Raw genomic sequence first — 22,376 nt, 5'->3', positions numbered from 1 at the left:
AAATAGAGTGAGTCGGCCAGGGTGCCTCTTCAGCCCCCATCTACGGGGTCAAGGGTTGTGAAGAGCAAAACTAAGAACACAATGCAATTGACAAGAAGTGTCAGCCTCCTTCTGAAAAAAAAGGTCCACACCTCCCTTGATGGTCCTGAATTCACCATAACCGAGGCAGCAGAGTAGACGATGGGTGTTTGGCACCCATCCTCTCCATCCTGTGTCCCCGTGTAATAGCTGCCTTGTTGCAACTTGTAATTAGGGGGATATTTGAGATCAGGATCAGGAGATTTAGAGACACTGTTTGCTCATCCCCTTTCAGTGTCGATGAGTACAGTTCAAGTTAGTATTCAAACCAGTGAGAACCAACTGGTGGAGCAAAATCACCAGGCAATAGCCTTTCTCTTCAGTTGTCACTTGGGCTCAAGGAAAGATTTTAAAATAAGTTAGTCCTAGTTAGAGGTAAAAATAACCCCTGGAGACAGGTTTCTGGCTGCGGTTCAGTTGGACGCACTGCCTAGCTAGTCTGGGAGAAATGGAAGCTGCCTCCCAGTAACCAGGGTGGAAAAGTCACAGCTAGGAAGTGAGGCTACCCTGGGAGGCTAAAAAGTTATTGCAAGTACGTTTATTCCATGAATGAAGGTGTATACACAAGACTGTTCTAGCCTGGGTATAGATTATAAGTTTCAAAAGAAAGCTGAACTCCCAACAAGCCTTCATCAAAATCAACTGCCTTTCCATCCCACTGCCTCCGTTTGCCTCTGGTTTTGGTCCTGCCAAATGCTAACAACGTCACATTCCAACCCTACTCTTCTGTGCCTAGGCAAGATGCAGTCACCTGGCTTCCCTGGCACTGTCTCTGATATCTGGGAAATGGACCTAAGGCTGTACTCGGAGGCAGATGTGACAAGCTACCAGCCCAGGTGAGATGGAAGGCCTCTTCCCCTCTCAGGCCAGAGGGTCCAGTGCCAGAATCATCCCGACGCTTGTCGCAAATTCACTTTCTCTTCTCCCTTTGGATTCCACAGCTCTGGGATGTAGCCCAGGAAGCTGTATTTTTTTTTTTTAACTTCCCTGAGTGATTCTGGTGATCTTCCTCTTGGAGCCACACTGAAGGGCAAGACAAGCAGTGGCTGAACGTTGTTGCCAGCAGGGTTAGGGAGGTGGGGGCAGAGGATAAGGAGAAGTCCTGTAGGGATTTGGGAAGCATGTTTGCCACTCCCAAAAAAAAGAAAAAAAAGGAAAACGAAAACAAAACAAAAAAAAGCTCAGCTTGGGAGAGAAGCCTAAAACAAACAAACAAAAAAGTAACCAAGACCTCGACGCAGTACTGAATTGCTGAATTTTTAATCTGTAACACAAAGGTTGCCAAACATTCCCCCAAAGGAGCAGCTCTCAGTGGGGTGGCGGTGGATGCGAAACAGCTGAAGACGCGGGGCAGTTGGCCTGGCTTCCGTTGCACGGGCTGGCTTCCCGCGGGAGCGGTGGTGGGTGGGGAGGGGTGGGGGGACTCGAGGCAACCCCCCAGAGCGGCCTCTGAGCGCCTAGGAGGAACCTGAAGGCGGGAAGGGGGAAGATCGTCAGGTCAAAGGCGGGAGTCTCAGGGCTTATGGGGTGGGGAAGGAGGGTCTGGGTGGAAAGGTACCTCAGGGAGCCTAGGAGGCTGTCAGCGTGAGCGGGGTGTTTCGGTACAAATGGAGGCCTTCAGACCTACTGAGTGGGGGGCTCCGAGGGTTGGGGCGGTCCTCAGGATGGAAGGATGGTGGGTCTCGGTATAGGGAGACCTCTGGGTGGAGAGGGCTGCGGGGAGACTTCAGCAAAGGCGAAGGTGAGACCTCAGAGTGGAGGGTGTCTGTTGGAGCAGAGGAGAAGCTCAAAGGCAGAGGGGGGCCTCGGGGGTCCCTGGCCGCCGCCGGGTGGGGGCCGCGCTCAGGCGGCCTTGCACTCGCTCTCGCGCCGCCGCTTCTTGCGCTCTGAGTGCTCCCGCGCCTGGCGCTCCCAGAGCCCGGGCCCGCACACGCCCACCACGCAGCAGGCCAGCCGCCGGCCCGCGTTCCCGTTCTCCACGCTGGCCTGGTTGCCGCCGCGGCCCAGGTCGTCCTCGCCAGCGTGGACGACCACGGCCCGGCCCACGATGGAGTGCGGGCCCGCGAGCGAGGCGGCCAGGCCGGCGCGGTACCTCCAGAGGCTGCCGTCGCGGACCGCGAAGTTGCCGAAGTCGCCCGGGTGCTGCGGGTGCGGCACGGCCAGCGGGTTGTAGTGGGGCCCGGTGGACTCGCAGCCCTGGCTCAGGTCCCCGAACTGGTGCACGTGGATGGCGCGGCTGGAGCTGTTCGGCTCGGTCGGGAAGCCCTCCAGGGCGAAGAAGGCGTCGAGCTTGGCGCGGGGCGCAAGCTGCCGGAAGAGGACGACGCCGGTCACCCGGGGCTGCGCGGCGTCCAGCGTGGCCGACGGCTGCACCTGGCAGGCGGCGTGGAGCGCGCCGTCGTCGTCCCGCCGCTGCATGACCTCCTGCCAGATCTCCGTGACCTTGGCGTACATGTCTCGGATCCACTCCGCCGAGTCAGAGTTGGGCTCCGCCGAGTCCTCGCCCGTCCAGGCGTCCGAGGCACCGGCTGCCAGGAGCAGGCAGGAACACAGTAGCGCCAGCATGGCTGGAGTCGGGCACCTGCGGGACGCCCCCGCGGAGGTGGGGGCAGAGTGAGGCTTAGTCACGTGAAACATAGAATCTCAGGGACCCCATTATCGCAGAACCAACCCCCCAGTCCCCAGTGGGCTTCCTGGCCCAGTGGGCATGACTTCATGTGGCAAACGTTTGTCTAGGGCCTGCTGTGTGCCGGGCACTGTGTTAGGTGCTGTGGCTGTAAAGATGGGTGAGACCCAATCTGAAGAAACCCACAGGGATCTGAGTCACAAATGATCATCGTCCTCTCCAGTCCCATCTCTATAGCGTGGAGGGGGTCTCAGGGAGCGTGAGGGGTGTCTCATGGCCCTTCCAGACCACCTCCCTCATCTCCCCACCTGGTCTCCTGTTACCCTCTTCCTCCATCCTCCCCCACAGACATCCCTAAGGCTTCTGTCCCTGCCTTCTGGGGCTTTGCATGTGCTACGCCTTCTCCCTGAAGTGCCTTCTCCCTGTTCTCTGCTACACTCAGTAGACTTGGAGCTTCTTGAAGACAGAAACTCAGTTTTATTCATCGGTATCCCCAGCACCTGGGCCCACACCTGGCAAAAGGAAACATATAATATGGATTTTGCATAAGGAGTTCAGTGAGGGACAGACTTGGCATCCAATCATTCCAGCACAATCCTGTGATTGAAGATGGGGCCTGTGCTGGAGAAGGACAGAGGAGGCAGTACCCATCTCCCTAGGAGCCTCAGGGAAGGCTTCTCAGAGGTGGTGACTTTTGAACTGGGTTCCACAAGATGGGTAGGAGTTTTCCAGCCAAGTTGGGTAGGAAGGCCATCTCAGCAGGCAGTGCAGTGGAAGTTTTTAAGAAGAAAAGTGGGTGATGAGATAGTCTTTAGTTCCTTAAGTCCTACTGGTAAAAGGATATGGGTTGGACTTTGGGATGAAGAGGAAAGGGGAGGAAGAATGGGAGTAGCCTAGGGAGAGACAGAGAAGCAGAAATAGAGACAGTGAGATGAGTTAGGGGGCGTTGTAGTAACCCAAGCAGGAAATGAAGGCTTTTACCAAAGTGCAGGTGGTGCACACAGAGGAGGCATGGGTTTAAGAGACACACCGGGCAGCACTGGCAGGATGGAAGATGAAGGCACAGTGCAGATGACCAGGGTTCCCAGCAGGAGAGACTGAGTGGAGGGAGGGTGGGACCTGTTCTGGAAAAGCAGGGAGAGAGGATTAGTTCAGCTGGAGTCTCCTGAGGGTGAGACGCTGGCGGGTGCCCAGGTGGGAAGACAGGTGGGCAGACAGTCGGAAACTTGGGTCTGGCACTTAGAAGAGGAGATGAAGCTGGCAGGGGTTCTCAGTGTTGACTGCACATCAGATGTCTGGTTTTTAAAAATCAGATGCCCAGGCCCCACCCCAAGAGATTTTGATTCTGTGAGAAAGAAAGGAGAGAAGAAAGACAGAGAGAGAGGAAGGAAGGGAAAGAAAGAGGAAAGAAAGAAAAGAAAAGAAAGAAGACACCTCTATCAAAGATTCTGGGGCCCAGCTAGGAATTATAAAGTCAGGTACAGATTTGAATCCCAATTCCAACCTATACTAACTGTGACTTCACGGGGTTACTGATGCTTAGCTTCAAGTTCCTTACCTGTAGAATAAGGCCAGCCATGCCACCGAGGTATTTCCAGAGGGATTGATGCTGCCTCCAAAGAATTGCTTTGAAGGTCAACTGCATTTCCAGCACCAAACTAGGTGCCATTTAAAAAACTCCAAGATTGGGTAGATATGCTTTATATAACCATTTCAGAAAGGCAATTTAGTGTGGTTATTAAAGGGATGGATTCCAGAACTCACCTCATGAATCTAAAGCCTGACTCTGCCACTTAGTCTAAGGGTTAGCTGTTACTATTTTTATTGCTGAGTAGCAGAGTAATTGCTGGACTGCAGACTGTACACTGTCTCATCCCCTGTGAACCTCAGTTTTCTCATCTGTAAATAGGGATACTAATACAGACTTACCTTAGAGGCTTGCTGCGAGGCTTAAAAGAGATGATTAGAATTGCTAAAACTTATCGAACACAGGCGCCAGACACTATTATAAGTACTGTGCGTGGGTTAATTCCCTGCATCCTCACAAGAACATTATTCAGTGTTATCCCCATTCTAAAGTGTAGGAAACTGAGGCACAGAGAGGCGTGTGTCCCGCCCAAGGTGACATGTTCACTAAGGAGCTGAAGGCAGGATTTGAAAGTGTGTGTCTGCTCCAAGCCCAAGGTTTAGGCACCACACTGCACATCTCTCATCTAGGGCACTTAGCACAGAGCCCAGTACATAGAAAGTTCCCAGTAAATGGCAGCTCTTAGCTATCAGAGAGAGCTGCTGGTAGAGATTTTAAGGACCATTAGCTAAGAGATGCTATGGACACTGTGAGAGGAGGTCCCCTTGAAAGGCTCCAAGAAGGAGGATCCAGAAAGAGGGAGAAGCAGAGAAAGTGATGTTGAAGGACTCACCTAAATGACATGGCCCAATGTGGTACTACTACCCCAAAGCCCCAGGGAGTAGGCAGGAAAGTGGGGTAACTCTCCTGCCAGACCTGGACATGAAGTTCCCCATCATCAAAGACACCTTCCTCCTAAGACAGCCCTGCCACTCAGAAGGGCTCTGCTGCTTAGAAAGTTCTCCCTAAAAGCACAGAGCAAAACCAGATTGTTTTGGGTGTGTCAGTGAGCTTTCTTTTTCAAGAATCCTTGGGAAATAAACATTTTAAGGAGATGTTTTTCTCTGAAACCAAAAGAAGAGCCAGGCATGGTGGCTTATGCCTGTAATCCCACCCCTTTGGGAGGATGAGACAGGAGAATCATTTGAGTACAAGAGTATGAGACCAACCTGGTAGAGACCCCCATCTCTAGCAAAAAAAAAAAAAAAAAATAGCTGGGTGTGGTGGCATGTGCCTGTAGTCCCAGTTACTCAGGAGGTTGAGGTAGGAGGATCGCTTGAGCCCGGGAGGTAGAGGCTGTAGTGAGCCGTGATAGTGATCGTGCCACTACATTCCAGCCTGGGTGCTGGGTGACAGAATGAGACCATGTCTCAAAAAAAAAAAAAAAAAAAAAAAAAAGAGAAGAAGGAGGAGGAGGAGGAAAAGGGGGAAAGAAAATTCTCCCTCAAACCCAGGTAAACTCTGACTTCTTGTTTCTTAAGCCTTTGACACCTCTTCCCCTCGGGACCAACTTGATTCTTCTCCCACAGCCTCTTGCTCAGTTTGAGCTGTGAATGACCAAGTGCCTTTTTAAGGGCCTCCTTTGTACGTGGATCTGGAAGGGAGGACGGTGTTATCAGAGAAAGAGGACAGTGTTATCAGAGAAAGAGGACAGGGGCCCTTATCCTGAACCAAATAGAGGCACCAAGCCTTTATCTCCTTCCTGGGTCTGTATCTGGGAAGAACCTGCCCCTCTTGAGCCTTGGGTGTGTTTCATCCCTCAGCTGTCTCCTAGAAGGAGCTCTTGCTGGGAGCCTGAGCTGGCCAGGGCCTCTCTGCTTTCCTAAGGAGGTGGCTTTTTAGAGTACCTGCTGTCCCATAAGTGGCTCCCGACACCAAAGCCATGCAACATCTAGAAAGGCCCCCTTTCTCGTCACTCCAGATTCCTTTTCCTAACACTAAAATCCTCTTGGACTGGTCTTTGCAGATCCACAGGAGGAACGGTTTCTTCCTCCCCTCCTTGCCTTCCTCCCCGCTCACTCCACCTCCCCACTAACCCCTCAGAGCAGCCAGGGAAAGTACATTTCCTTCCCAAGAAGATGATCCAATTTGTTCCCAAGAAGAGGCCCGTTGCCCCAACCCAGCTTCAGACTCAATAAGCACACTCCGAGAAGAACAAAATGAACCTCAACTTAGCACCCACCTTTCCAGCTCCTCCAAGAGAGCTTTCTCTCCTGAAAAGAGAGCTGCACCCAGCCAGCCCAGGAACGCAGGCTGTCCCTGGAGCCTGGGCTGTTAGCGCGAGTGCAGGAGGCCAGCCCAGAGGAGTGGTCAGCGTGAGGGAGCCAGTCATTGGGCCAGTTCAGGGAGGAAAAGCAGGCCAGACCTCCCCGGGTTGTAGAATTGCTTCGCCTCCACCTCCTCCCGCTCTGTCCCCACCTCCTCTGCCCCTCCCATTTTTGGGTTTTCGGGCCAAGGATTCCATTCCGCGACTTCACCGGCTTGTAGCCAGTGACCTTCAGCACACAGCAGGGGAATAAAAATGAGAAAGAAAATCGCCTGTTTGGAGAGGTGTACAATGACCTCTTTATTGAGAGGCCCTTTGCTTTTCTGTAAGTCAATAACTTATTGACTTATTTTTGCTGCATGGAAATGGGCACCTTGCAAATGTGCGTGGCATTTGCTCCAGAGCTGTGCTGTCATACCTATGAGAGCAGAGCAGCGGGTGGGTCGTGATGACACACTCAGGCTGCAGAGTCCCAGCCTTGTCACTTCCTATCTGTGTACGCCTGAAGCAGCTGCACCACTCCCTGCACCTCCTTTTCATCATCTGTAAAATGGGGGTGTGAGGCTGTCCACCCCGCACGCCCACCGTGAAGATCCAATGAGATCATTACTCGCCCAGTGACAACACAGTGGCTGGCACTAGCCGCACTCATAAGTAATCATCATTGTCATTGTCGTTACCGTTATTATTAAAGAGATGAAGGAGTCTTTTTAAAAAATGTGTTGTCTGGGAGAACTAGGAGTGTTTCCCTCCCGACGTCTGTCCTTTTTTTGCTGCCATGAACTTTTCTCAATCATAGCAGCCCTTTCCAAAAATAGAAGCTCTTCTTTCCCAGAAAAGCCCATGTGGGAAAAACCAGGCAGCCTGCTTGCTGGCCTGCCCGTCCTCCTGCATTCCTGCAACAAATGTTTATTGGGTGCTCATCCATTCCAGTCACCATGCTGTATGCCGGGCACCCACAGCTGCATGAGTCACCTTGGGGGTTCATACTCTGGGGACGGAGACAACAACGTCAGTAAATGCATCCAGTACAGAGTGGGGAGCGCAGCGACGAAGAATGAACAGGGCCTCGTGAGGTCCCAAACACCCGTTTCGGTGGCAGGAAAGCTTATAAAAAATCTAAATCTCTGGATCCCACCCCAGGATGGGTGACTTAGTTACCAGCAGGAGCTTCCTAGAATCATCTTGGAAAAACTCAAACTAATGATCTTTATCCAGGGACAGGCATTCTGCGAGATAAGAGGGAGACTTCCCAGAACTGAGACTCCAGCCCTTCCACCCTACCGTCCTTCCTTCTGGCCCGCTGAGAACTCAGGCACCAGTAGCTCAGTCTTGCACCTCTGCATTCTGTTGGTAGGCGTAGTTATCCTCAACTAATGAGTTTTCAGAGTTCCCCATGCCACCCACCACCCCACCCCCACCCTGCAACAGTCTAGTTCCTTATTGTGAATCTTTCTTCCCATTTTTAAAACATTTATATTTTCATTCAGTTCTTGAAATCCTAATTATATACATTCATAGCTACTATTTTAAATGGCACTTGCTTCACTTGGCCTAATTTTATTTCGTTTAAGGTCCAAGAAAGCACGTCTCCGTTCTGGTATTCTAGGACTTGTGCTAAAGCCTAGATTTACTTTCATTTTGATGGCATTCTAGAGGAAATCTGCCTTTTTCTCGCCACCGCCCCCAACCTCCCCACCATGGCAACATTCATTCCCTCTTCCTTTGGTAACAACATCCCAATTTCCTTTCTGAGAAACCACTATACTTTCAGTCCAGCAGGTGGTGTTGACTTCATCTCCTGCTCCAGAGGTAGCTTGTGGCTTAGGTATGATAAATCGTACTATTGCACTGGTTCAGGGATGATCCACCTTCAGAGCCAATGAGATGCAATGCCACTTTTCACTGGGACTGTTGAAAGAGATGCATCCTCTCTTTCTTACTGGACTTGAAACTGGAGAAAAAAGGCTGGAGTTATTGCAGCCATCATGCTCCACTAAGGGAGAAGCTGTCTGAGGATAAGGCCAATGCAGAAGGCTGTGGAATAAAAGTAGAGTGAGAGCTCAGTGCAGTGGTATACGCATGTGTAGTCCCAGCTACTAGGAAGGCTAAGGCAGGAAGGTTGCTTGAGCCCAGGAATTCAAGGCTATAGTGTGCTATGATCACTTCTGTGAATATTCCACTGCACTCCAGCCTGGGCAATGTAGCAAGACCCTGTCTCTAAAAAAAAAAAATGGTAGAGTGAAATCTGAACCCACTGGCATGGGTTCAGATGCTCTATTTTCATTATATGAGTCGATACATTCTCATTTTGCTTAAGGTGTTTAGGTTGAGTTTTCTGAAGTTGCAGCTGAACACTTTATGAAGCACTTTCTCATATAGTATCGTATTTAATGCTTGCAATACTTTTTGTGGGGTGGATATTAATTTGGCAACTTTGTTTATAAGAAAATAAAGTCCAGTAAGAAAAGGTAATGGACCCCAGGTTGGAGAGGTAGAAAATGGCAAAGTCAAGATTCAACCCTAGGACTTTGATTCCTAAGCTTGGATTCTTAATCATTATGCTTTACTACCACCTAACCTAATGAGAAGATGAAAACAAAGTTAGAAACAAGTAACAGAGGAGTCAGAGGAGTTCACATTTCACAGTGATCTCTGTAACATCAGTGACTGCCATGCAAGCGAGACATTGAACAATTGACCTCTTATTCTTTTCACATTTGTTAATGTATAATACACTGGAAAGTCAAATGAGCATTGTCAAGCACCAGTTTTAGGAAGTGCGTTGAAAAGCACTCTTCCCACGTGGAAGAGCTCTCTGCTAGAGAACTTTGTACATTTCGTACAGGAATGCCAGTTGTAAATAGCTTCCTTTTCATGTGTACAGAAAACTGATAGACTTAAATTCCACCAGGAAATAGAGTGGTTACCCTGAGAAAATTTTTGAAAACAATTAAGGTTTCAGGTTAACCTCCCTAGAAAGCCAGGTTTTGTGTGATCACTATTTACCCAACCAGATTACTTCAAACACATCTGAAAAACTAACAGTATGTTTCGCCTGCCCAGGGTTCTCCCAGAAGCCCCCCGGGGAATTAAAGTAAAACCAGGGAACTGCATAGTACAATCTTGAATCTTATAATTTTATCTAGAAACATCTGGTTAACAGGAAAAAGTGGATCCTCACTGGCAGGGTGCGCAGGAAGAAAAGAAGCATCATTCTTATTATGAATAGGAATAAAATAATGGGCCAGACACAGTGGCTCACACCTGCAATCGCAGCAATTTGGGAGGCTGAAGCAGGAAGATTACTTGAGGCAAGACCAGCCTAGGCACCATGCGAGACCCCCATCTCTACAAAACATTTTAAAAAATCAACCAGGTGTGGTGGCACATGCTTGTGGTCCAAACTACTGAGGAGGCTGAGGTGGGAGGATAGCTTGAGCTCAGGAGGTTGAGGTGGCCGTAAGCTATGATTGTACCACTGCGCTCCAGCCTGGGTGACAGAGCAAAACCCTGTCTCAAATAAAGGAAAGAAAATAATCACGTCTAATATTTACTAAGAGCCTCTGCTGTACCAGGAATGGGCACCCTTCATGTGCACCTCTTCATTTGTATTATTAGTGCTGTTCCTCAGTGAAGAGGGGACATTGCATGCTGTTCTATGCCCCATTCTGGCACGTTTGCTTTCACTGTCGACATGTCAACCCTCCTCTTTAAATGTTGGCACAATGTGTATGAAGGAGAAGGTAATGAACACCAGTAAGAACCAGTAATTTTTCAACTAATTACACATGAGGCCACATGAAGAGAATAACCAATAGCAGAATACAGAAGAAATGCCTTTCCTGATCCGAAGGTGAGTGTGTGTAAAATATTCACTTAGGAAAACACCAGAGTTAAATCCCTCCACACTGAGTTCTTCATGAACTCTGACTCTCCCTCCAGTTCTACTCCCTGCCCCATGCCTGTGAGAAAACTTGGGCCAATTCTGGTTTGCCAGAGGGAAACAAGATAGCCTGGCTCAGGCACACCCAGGGATGCCGATAATAATAATAATAAAAGAGCAGTGTCATAACTTAAAAGCAAATCCAATTTAATGCTTATTTCCTCAAAATAATGTCATGGTACACTCTACTTGGGGGAAAAAAAGGAGACTTTTCCAGCTTATTTTCTAATTATATTTATTTACCAAACATTCAGTGGGCTCAACAGCCATATGTGCCCCAGTTCTTACTCTCTCCTTCCCAAGAAGCCAAAAAGCTTGACATTTGCTTTCCCAGAATCCCTTTCATCTGGCATTGGTCATGTGACCCAGCACATAGTCCATGAGACATAACCTGATGTGCCTTTGGGAAAAGCTTTTTCTTTCTTTATAAAAGGCAGAAATGGCTAGTGTTTTTCCCTTTCCTTTGCCTAAAATGTGGGTGTGATGTCTGGCAACATGGTAGCTACTTTGGATCCATGCAATGACAAGAATGAGAACATAAGGCCAACATGCCCAGGATGGTAAAAGGGAAAGATGGAAAGAACCTTGGTCCTCAAAGACCTCACTGAACACCTTAACCAACACCTGCACAGCTCTAATCTTCTTGTAATAGAAGAAAATCAGCCTCAACACATTCTACTATTAGTGGGTTTCTGTTACTAGCAGCCAAATTTATGCCTAGCTGATGCAATTATGTGTCAGACCCTATACTGGGCACCATGACTATGAAGATATGGAAATCACAGCCTTAATTCAAGGGGCTCATAGTCTATTTGGAGAGACATATGTGCAAGGGACCACAGAATCTTCCCAGTGTCATACTCTTATTTTGCAGGTGGAAACCAAGATCTAATTGATTATTCCAGTGTCATCCCCATTAGATGTAGAGGAAGAATTTGAAGCCTTCAGGCTGCTGACCTTCAATCTCACCAGTTCCAAGGCTCCATTGACCATCTCTTCACCTGTCCCCCTGCTTACCCCGTCACACACACACCCTGCAATTTCACCATGAGAAAGAAGTACTCTCCCCACTCTGAAAGCCAGCTTGGCCCAGCCCCTTTCCTCCATACTCCCAGAATGAACAAACTAATAGAAAAGATGGGCGGAAGTTCTCCAAGGAGCTGTGTAAAATGCACAGACATTGCCATTGCCACATGTAGAAAACAGAATCTGAGGACAGAGGTGAGACAGACTACTCTTGGAATTTTAGAAAATTGATGTTAGAAGGAAATGTAGAGGGAAGAGAGATCCTCTTGACTCAGAGTTTATTTTAGAAAAATAATTAGGAATTCTAAATGCTGACAGGGCTGACAGGATTCAAAAAGAGGCCTCAGATCCAAGGCCTAGGGAAGAAAATAGGGCAGCCGCCATGTGTCTCACTCAGAAATGAATCCAGAATGGTTCTGGCCAATCTTCAGGGATGATTTTAAATGAAGTGGGTCATAGCTTCCATCATAGTCCCCAAACCACCATCACTCACCAGGGTCACCTAAAGAGGAGCAGCTACAGGAGAACCAGCATCTGGAAGATTAGAAGATTCTGTGTTATAGCTGTAGTAGTATATTTTGAATTTCACTTCACAGAATATTGGAGCAATCATACAAAGCAGCCCACCTCCTCATAGTGTTCCTGGGTCATGGCCCAGCTGTGCAGACTCCATCTTGCCCTTCTAGAGAAAACAGAGGGAATGCGGTTGAGTCTTAAGACATCCTCTGCACAGTGGGGATGTACTACAGATTTAGCATCCTTCCATTTAAAAGCTCCAAAATCTAAAATTTTTTGAGCACCAACATGAGACAATGACACCTTTGCTTTCTGATGGTTCAATGTATATAAACTTTGTTTCATGCACAAAATTATTTTTTAAATTGTATAAAATTAGCTTCATGCTATGTGTTTTAAATATACACAAAGCACAAATAAATTTCACATTTAGACTTGTGTTCCATTCCCAAGATATCTCATTATGTATGTGAAAATATCCCCAAATCTGAAAAAATCCAAAATCCGAAACAATTCTGGTCCCAAGCATTTTGGGTAAGGGATACTCAACCTGTACGAGCTGTTGGCAGCCTTAGCCTGGGACCAAGGCATGAACTTCTAGAATATCTCTCCCAACTTCTGTCCACTTTAGCAGAAGAAACTTATCATACTGGCCATTCTCCCCCAAACTGTTACACCAAAGCAGGAATTTATAGCTCATTGGCCAAGCCATTGCAGAAAAGATGGAATCTAACTACTGACTCAACTACGTGATTTCACTTAGGAAGACAAGTTTTAATAGATCAGAACATTCCTCTGGTTGGGCACTAGTGACCAAAATGAAGTTATCTTTTCATTCGTGAATATATTCATCATTTAAACACAAGTATAGATTTGCAACCTCTTTAAAAATGTATTTTCAGAGAGAGAACAGCAATTTCTATAAGAAAATGACTATGCATAGGCTGAATCTATCATCTCCTTTTTACATTCTTTCCCTCAAAGCTAGAAAATCTCAAATTTACTACCACAGGAATTAAAAACTCAGTGCCTTTGGAGGCCATACAGGTCACATAATGAGTAAAGTTGGCTGGATATAGATCTCTTATTTGTTGATGTGATTTGGATATTTGTTCCCTCCAAATCTCATGTTGCAATGTCATCCCCAGTGTTGGAGGTGGGTCTGGTGGGAGGTGTTTGGATCATGAGGGTGAATCCCTCATGAATGGCTTAGCACAATTCCCTTGGTGATGAGTGAGTTCATGCAAGATCTGGTTATTTAAAAGTGTGTGACCCCTCACCTATCTCTCTCTTCCTCTCATCATGTGACATGTTGCTCCTACTTTCATTTCTGCCAAAAGTTCCCTGAGACCTCACCAGAAGCCAAGCAGATGCCAGCACCATGCTTCCTGTACAGCCTGCAAAAAGATGAACCAATTAAACCTCTTTTCTTTATTAATTACCCAGCTTCAAGTATTTCTTTATCGCAATGCAAAAATGGTCTAATACATTTGTCTTTAAACTCACAAACTGCTTATCTACATTTTATCTTTCTATTTTAGTGGAGATACTAACCTGAAAAATATTTCTCTTCCATGAGAAGAAACAGCAGTTCATTGAAAAATGGCAACTCAGCCATTCTCAGATTGGATAAAAAAACAAAACCCAGCTATTTGCTGCTTCTCAGAGATGCATGTCAAATATAAAGACACAGACAGACTGGCAGTAAAAGCATGAAAAGAAGATTTACCATGGAAACAGTAAGCAGAAGAAGGGCATAGTTATATTAACATCAGCCAAAAATTGACATCAAAACAAAAGCTACTGCTGTAGATAGTCACAGCAATTGGACAGTTCACAATGACAAAAGGTACATTTATCAAGAAAACATAATAATCCTAAATTTTATCTATCCAACAACAAAACTCCAGAATGAATGAAACAAAACTTTTAAAAACTAAGGCCGAGGTGGGCGGATCACGAGGTCAGATCGAGGTCATCCTGGCTAACACGGTGAAACACCGTCTCTACTAAAAACACAAAAAATTAGCCAGGCGTGGTGGCAGGTGCCTGTAGTCCCAGCTACTGGGGAGGCTGAGGCAGGAGAATGGTGTGAACCCAGGAGGCGGAGCTTGCAGTGAGCTGAGATCACGCCACTGCACTCCAGCCTGGGCGACAGATTGAGACTCTGTCTCAAAAAAAAAAAAAAAAAAAAATTTAAAAACTAAAGACAGAAATAAACAAATTCACAGTCATAACTGGACACTTTTAACATGCCTTCTCATTAATTGATAGAAGAAATAGACAAGACAATTAGTTATTTGAACAACATTATTAACTGACATAACTGAACTTGTATTTTCCCAGTGGTTCCATAATAAATATTATTTTCAAATTTACATGGAATGTTTACCAAGATAGATCATATCTTAGGCCAAAAATAAGTTTTTATTAAATTTAAAGAGGTTAAAACATTTCAGAGTATGTTATATGAGTACAATGAAGCTAAAATACAAATCAAGGAGATATGTATAAAATCCTCAAATATTTAAAAATTAAATAATTCATTTCTCAATAACTTATGAGCCAAAGAATAAACCACAGGGATATTAGAAAATATTACACATGAATTGTAATGAAAACAACATATCAAGCTATAGAGGATGGAGCCAAAGCAGTTCTTAGAGGAAAACACATAACTTTCAATGCATATATTAGAAAAGTACAAAGGTTGAAACATTAAGAAGCTAAAGAAAGGAGCAAATTAACCCAATGTAAGTAGAAGGAAATAAGTAATAAAGAACATAAATTTATAAAATAGAAAACGGATAAACAATAGAGAAAAAATTTAAAAATGAAATGTGGATTATTTGTAAAGATTAATAAAGTTGATAAAGTTCTAGCAAGACTAATAAAAAAGAAATCAAAATTACCAATATGAGAAATAAAAGAGGGTACATTATTTCATATCCTGTAGCTATCAAAAGGATAAGTCTTGTGAACAAATTTATGCTAATAAGGTCAATAACTGAGATGCAATGGGAAAATCTTTGAAAAACACAACTTACAGAATTTACACAAGAAAAACAGGGTGCATTGTCCCATGTATATTTAAAAAATTTATTTTGTTATTTAAAACATCCTTCCCACAAAAGAAAGTCTAGGCCAGATGGGTTTGCTGGTGAATTCTATAAAATGCTTATAAAATATTTAAGAAATAAGTAATACCAAATTTACACAAACTTTTCTAGAAAATAGAGAAGGGTAACGTTCTTCTAAATTTCTCTTCTGAGACTAACATAACCATGAAATTAAAAGCCTGACAAATAAGTATCTCTAATGAACATAAATAAAAAATTCCTGAACAAAATTTTAACAAAACAAATTCAGAAAATATACAATATGGAAAATATATTGTGACCAATTAGAGTTTACCGCAGAAATGCAAGTTTGGTTTAACATTTGAAAGTTAGTTTATATAATTAACCACATTAACAGAATGCAGTGAAAAAAAATCACATGATCATCTGGATAGATGAAGGAAAAGTAGTTCACAAAATCTAACCCCGTTCATGATAAAAAAAAAAGAAACTCTTAGCAAACTAATAATAAAAGGCAACTTCCTCAGTTTGATTAAAGGCAGTTATGAAAAACCTACAAGTAGCAGGCAACTTAATGGAGAAATATTGAATGTTTTCCATCTAAGATTGAGAACAAGGTAAGGATATCTGCTCTCCTCATCTCTAGTCAATATTGTACTGGAAATCCTAGCCAGTGTAATAGGATAAGAAAAAATAACAATAAAAAGCCTGGAGGCCAGGCGTTGTGGCTCATGCCTGTAATCCCAGCAGTTTGGGAGGCCGAGGTGGGTAGATCACCTGAGGCAGGAGTTCGAGACTAGCCTGGCCAGCATGGTGAAACCCCATCTCTACTAAAAATACAAAAAAATTTAGCCAGGCATGGTGGCTGTAATCCCAGCTACTGGGGAGGCTAAGGCAAGATAATTGCTTGAACTCACGAGGCAGAGGTTGCAGTGAGCTGAGATCATGCCACTGCACTCCAGCCTGAGCAACAGAGCAGGACTCCATCTCAAAATAAATAAATAAATAAATAAATAAATAAATAAATAAATAAATAGCATGGATATTGAGGGGCATATGTAAACTTTATGCAAACATGAATGTCTACATAGAAAAGTCTGGGCCAAGTGCAATGGTACATGCCTGTAATCTCAACACTTTGGGAGGCTGAGGTGGGCAGACTGCTTGAGCTCAGGAGTTTGAGAGCAGCCTGGGGAACAGTGGTGAAACGCTGTCTCTATAAAAAATAAAAAAATTAGCCGGGCATGGTGTTGTGCACCTGTAGTCCCAGGTATTCTGGAGGCTGAGGTGGGAGGATAGCTTGAGCCTGGGGGGAGTCAAGGCTGTGGTAAGCTGTGATCATGTCACTGCATTCCAGCCTGGGTGACAGAGTGAGACCCTGTCTCAACAAGAAAGAAAGAAGAGAAAATAAAAGAAAAGAAAAGAAAAGAAAAAAGGAAGGAGAGAGAAAGAAAAGAAAAGAGAAAAGAAAAGAAAATTCTAAGGATATTTTTTAAACACTACTGGAAATAATCAGGGAATTTACCAGGGTCACAAGATACAAAGTCGGTAAATAAAAGTAAATTGGGTTTCTAGATACTAGCAACAAACAATTTGAAAATGAAATAATTACCATTGATAAGAACACCAAAATGAATGAAATATTTAGTAATAAATTCAGAAAAAAGATTTTTAAAATTCTACACTTAAAATGTGCAAGATATACAAAAACACAAAATGTTTCTGAGAGATATTAAAGCAGATCTAAACAAATCGAAAGATATGCCATATTTGTGGATTAGAAGACTCAGTATTAAGATGTCAGTTACCTCAAATTTAACACAATGCCAATCATAATCCCAGCAGGCTTTTGTGTAGAAATTGAAAAGATTATTCTGCAGTGTGTGTGGAAAAGTAAATGACCTAGAACTGCTAAAACAATTTTGAAATACATACACACAGTTAGAAGACTGGCACTACCTGACTTTAAGACCTATTATAAAAATTTAATAATCAACTCGGTGTGGTATTGGCATGAGGACAGACATATCGATCAATGGAACAAAATAGAAAATTCAAAAATAGACCTATACATACATGGTCAATTGACTTTTGCAAACAGTGCCAAGGTAATTTAATGGGGCAAAGGGTAGACTATTCAACAAATGGTACTGGAACAACTGCATATCAATATGGAAGTAAAACGAACTTCTACCTTTATCTTAAACACATAAAAAAACTTTTTCAAAATGGAGCACAAACCTAAGTGTAAAAGTGAAACTGTAAAACTTCTGGGATGTAAATATTGCTTACTGGAACACCAAAAGCATAAACCATACAAGAAAAAATTAACAAACTGGACTTCATCACTAGTAAGAATGTTTGCTCTTCAAAAGAAACATTTAAGAAACTGAAAAGACAAATCACAGATTGGGAGAAAATATTCCTAATACACATAACTTTCAAAGGACTTGTATCTAGACTATATAAAGAACTCTTATAACTCAATAAGAAGAAAGACAATCCAGTTGAAAAACTGGATGAACATTTTTAACCAATGTTTCACAAAAGAAGATATACAGATAACCAATAAGCATATTCATTGGTTATCAGGAAAATGCAAAACAAAACCACAGTTTAACATTGCTCTATGTCAATTTGCTTGGCTAAAAATAAAAACACTGACAATGGCAATGTGGGCAAGGATATGGAGTGACTAGAACTTTCATACATTAATAGTGAGACTGTGAAATGCTACAACTACTTGGAAAAACTCTTTAGAAGTTTTTTATAGGCTTAAACATGCCTTTAACATATGATTCAATATTTTCATTCCTAGAAAAATGAAAATGCATGTCCACAGACATATACATGAAAATATATAAGAGCATTATTCATAATGGGTCCACTGGGAACATTGCAAATATCCATCAGCAGGTGAACAGATATATTATTTGCGTTATATTTCCACAATGGAACACTATTCAGAAATAAGATGGAATAAACTGCTGGTACATAGACCTTGCCTAGAAAGGATTTGAACTTGAGGTGATCCTCACACCAAGGATGTTTGGGGACAGTGAGGCTTCAAACATGAAGGAATCTCAGAAATATTAGTCTAAGTGAAAGCAGCAAGATGCAGATTAGTATATACCGTGTGATTCCATTCATATGAACTTCTAGAATAGGTAACCTAATCCTATTGTCATGGAAATCGGAAAAATGGCTTCCTGGGATGGAGGTAGAGGAACACTGAGAGAGGCAGAGGCAGAGAAAAAGAGAGAGAGAAAAAGAGAGAGAGAGAAAGAGAGAGAGTGTGTGTTTGTGTGTGTGTGCATGTGTGTGTGTGCGTGTGTGCATGTGTGTGTGTGCCTGCATGCATGTGTGTTGGAATTAGCTGCAAAGGGGCATGAGAAATCTCTCTGGAGTGATGGAAGTGTTCTATATCTTGAATGTGGGATGCTTACATGAGTGTTTACATGTCAAAGAGCATGCATTTTATTGCTTGTAAATTATCCCTTAATAAATTTGAAAAGCACAGACATCTTGTAAGCATTAGCAAAGTAAGAAAGCTGGCAACTCTTGGGCTCACCTCGTTGGTGTGAGGATGACCTCAAGTTCAAATCCTTTCTAGGCAAGGTCATCCAAATTAAATTTTGTATTATGTTGTTGGTCCTTCAGATTTAGTCTTGCAAAGTTTGAGGTCAGAACTCTAATGAGTAAGCATTGGAGAGTAAAAAGAGAAAGCTTTCTTATTCATTAGTGGGACAGTTGTCCTGTTGAGACCCTCCTCTGACGTCTCTTGGGAGAGCACTGCTCCTGACCTCAGGCTAACTAAATTGACAGTTTCTACACAGCACTGATCCACTCCAAGCCTCACTGTCCTCACATGTAAAAACAAGGTAGGATTTTGTGAGGATTTTTTTGACAATTAAATGAGATAATTATGTAAGGAAACCAACTAGGTGCTTGGCATGTAGCAATCATTGAATTCTGTAATTGCATTACCTGTTTTTTGAGGAGTAAACCTTTTGAGGTTTTTTTGAGGTCCTTCATTTTATAAATTGGACTGGAGAACACAAAGGTATCAGGGTGGAAGTGGAAAGACTTGTGAATGTAGAATCAATTTCTTTATATTGTCATGGATTTCTGTTTCTTCTTTTTAGGACTCAAGATACTGGTACCTTTGTTTTTGTGTTAGCTAGATCTCCTTAAGTTTCAAGTGACAGAAATGCAATTCATGCCAATTTCAGCAAGAGGGAATTTTACTGGCTCATATGACTGAAAAATCCAGGATCTTCTATTTTCATAGCTCTAAAACTTCTAATAGTTCCAACAAAATTGCCCAATTGAATCTCATGGAACCTACGTGAGTCCTGTTTCCATATCTGAACCCATAACTATGTTGATGAGGATGGAATACAGTTTTCATCATAGGCTTACTCTGTCAGCCAGAAGTAGGGTCAGCACCACCAGAACAGCATGGGGAGAGAGGGAAAGACACTGTTTCCCAAAGAAAAATACAAGTGCTGCTCTGTTTTGTCCTAGTTTTGTATGTTTGACAAGTCGTTTCTCTGGCACTACAGATTGTTCTCCCTGTGTTTGCAATACCATGGTGGATTATGCACAAGCAGCTTAGTGTTCTGGGGGGAAATTCACTCCTGTGAAATTGCCTACGCATCACATGATCCTGCTATGCAGTTTTCACATCTATTCCCAGTGAGGCACCCGTTCTAAAAAAAGAACGTTAGCTCCACAAAGGAGGGGAAAGAAGCTATTCCTACTAAGAATCTATGACTTGGTCTTGTTGTTAAACAGACTTTGGAATCTCTTTTTTTCCATTTACACAGAGTTTGAGTTCATTTCCGCACCACCCTTTTGTACACTGAAGGTGCCTTAGGAGGAAGAGAAGGATGGAATTGTTTGTTTTTCCAAGTATTCAGTTTTTACAAGCAGGCTAGTTGGTCACTTGGAACACTTTAATTTCTTCCTGTTATGAGACCAGTCAAATTGGATGAATGAATTAGACCATTCATTTAGAAGCCATAAATGCCAACTGAATGGAAAGAAACTAAACTCCCCTTTTCCAAATGGCAGTCAGAAAGTGTCCAAACCAATGCTGATGGTAAGCTGGCATCATCCTCACCATCATTTTGTGTTTTGGGACTTTGCACATTTTGCAAAGTGTTTATGTAACATGTGGGTAGTAGACACTGATGGTTTCCTGTGATAATTGATCCCTGCTTTTCTTTTCTATCAGGTATCTGTTTTGTTCAGGTATAGAACTCTACTAAAATGCAGGGAGTCACCAACAAAGTTCCTGATTAATCTTGTTCGATCAGCACATGGTATTCCCTGAGGATGGCCAAGAAGTGAGATGAAATGATCTGGGTCCTTGAGGCCCTGATGGCTCTGCATCTGCATCTTTTTTAACCTCTGGACTTCCCACTCTGTGACTCTGTTGTGTAAGTTAGTGCAAGCCAAGACTTTCTTTTACTTGCAGCCCATACTAATACAGTGTGCCCGTCATCATCATCATCCATCCATTCATTTATTCATTCAATCTAACATTTCCAAATTCAGTCAAAGTACAGTCTTGTCAACAATACCTCCAGCACTTTAGCTTTGCTAGTGCCAAGGCTACAAAGCAGGTCTATGTAAATATTCCTGTAAATACTCTGTGAGGAATTGGCCTTTAGTCAGGCAATGTGCAATAAAGAAGGCATATTCCTTCCCCCTTCCAGACACTGGAACCAAGAGAGTAGTTTTCAATTGGATCAACCCAAGACTATCTGCCAGGAATGCTTTTGGCTACAAATAAGGAAAGTATGACAAAAAACCTTGCTGGAACACTCAGGCATTTGTTGCATGGAACAAAAAGTCCAGAGCTGGTAGGGTGGCTCCGTGATACCTGCAGGGCTTGCGATTTTCCCATCTTTGCTTGCCATCATTGTCAGTGTTCAGGCTTCTGACCTCATGAATGTTGCCTCAAGGCTGCAAGGTGGCTTATACACCTCCAGATATGGCACCTCACTTCAGGCAGGAAGAAAGAAAAGGGAAGTAGAAACACCCTCTTTCCCAGACAATTTCAGTTTATGTCTCATGGTCAGAAATGTGTCACAGGCATCCCTAGGGTCACAGGAGTCTGGCAGAGTAAATGTTCTTTCATTGAACGTTTTGCTACCCTAGCAAAATCAAATTTTCCTTACTATGAAGGAGGGAAGGATTTTATTGGCTAGGCAGCCAACAATACCTGCCACACTGGTTCAGATATTTACCTTTAGTTCTTTAAGGAACTACGGACATTATTTAATTTGGGATTTTATAAAGAAAGCAAGAAAATTAGTTGGGAAGGACCAAACTCATTCCATGGAATTAACTGCTTACAGTTAACTTGAGCATGAATAAAGAGGCTCCAAACTACAAGCAATGACAATAATAAGGTCTCATATAATCCTTATCTAGAGCAAGTGATGTAACTCATAACTGGGTTCAGCACAGGAAAATGTTTCTGCCTGGATCTTCATCTCCCATCGTCTTGGTTCTGAGCCATTCACAGATCTTCGGGTCCCAAAATGATTTCCAGTTGTTTCCCTCTAGCAGAGCTGGTGGATAAATTGTACTCTCTCTGCCCATCATCATCATCCATCCATCCATTTATTCATTCAATCCGACGTTTCTAAATTCGGTCAAAGTACAGTCTTGTCAACAATACTTCTAGCACTTTAACTTTGCTGGTGCCAAGGCTATAGAGCAGGTCTATGTAAATGTTCCTTCAATGTGGTCTCAAAATGCTTTGTTTTTCTTTCTCTCCTTCAGGGCTGCACAGATACTTTATGTTGCTCTCTGTTATGAGCAAGCTGTGAGCTTCACTACAAAAGTAGAAGCAGTTTTGTTATCTGCCCTGATTTTTGACAGAAATGCAAAGCTTTCTGCTTGAAAAAAAGTATCTTTTTCAGAGCCATCACTCACTCTCTAAAACTTAGGGAGATACTCAGTGCAGCATAATCAAGCAATGACTCTCATCCGTCCCCCAACCAGCACCACTAGCCCACAAGCACAGGGTTTTGCTGTTTAACTCCGTGGTGGAGAATAGGTGGAGTTCCTGTTTTTACACAGAGAGAAAACAAGAGCAAGAAAGTAATGGAAAAATTTAATATTTTTCCCTTGGCTTGCACAAGGAAGTTAGGAGTCTCATCTCTGAGAATCACAGTGAATATGATAATTTTTCT

The 22,376-nt window shown here is 43.7% G+C and overlaps 1 protein-coding gene across 2 annotated transcripts, besides 1 other annotated feature; it reads right to left on the bottom strand.

Annotated features, from left to right (window-relative positions):
- SOD3 (superoxide dismutase 3) lies at positions 1,323-6,592 on the bottom strand. 2 transcript variants are annotated; one of them, XR_427488.2, is made up of 3 exons: positions 6,514-6,592; positions 1,637-2,659; positions 1,323-1,546 (listed from the first exon to the last, which is right to left on the bottom strand). XR_427488.2 is itself a non-coding variant. In NM_003102.4 (2 exons), the coding sequence occupies exon 2, from the start codon at positions 2,641-2,643 to the stop codon at positions 1,921-1,923; it is 723 nt and encodes a 240-aa protein (NP_003093.2). In that variant the 5' UTR covers positions 2,644-2,659; positions 6,514-6,592; the 3' UTR covers positions 1,323-1,920. The 2 variants fall into 2 exon arrangements, 1 of the variants encoding a protein (NP_003093.2); NM_003102.4 differs by having other exon boundaries at positions 1,323-2,659.
- Positions 1,940-2,440: an enhancer, noted in NCBI's record as "H3K27ac-H3K4me1 hESC enhancer chr4:24801347-24801847 (GRCh37/hg19 assembly coordinates)". NCBI's record gives its function as "activates a minimal SCP1, AML or CMV promoter by ChIP-STARR-seq in naive H9 embryonic stem cells {active_cell/tissue: H9 hESC(naive)}" and the evidence as "EXISTENCE:reporter gene assay evidence [ECO:0000049][PMID:30033119]".

Source organism: Homo sapiens, chromosome 4, assembly GCF_000001405.40.
Source record: "Homo sapiens chromosome 4, GRCh38.p14 Primary Assembly".
NCBI lineage: Eukaryota > Metazoa > Chordata > Mammalia > Primates > Hominidae > Homo > Homo sapiens.
Note: the sequence above shows the minus strand (reverse complement) of the source record. Positions and strands in the feature narration are given on the sequence as shown.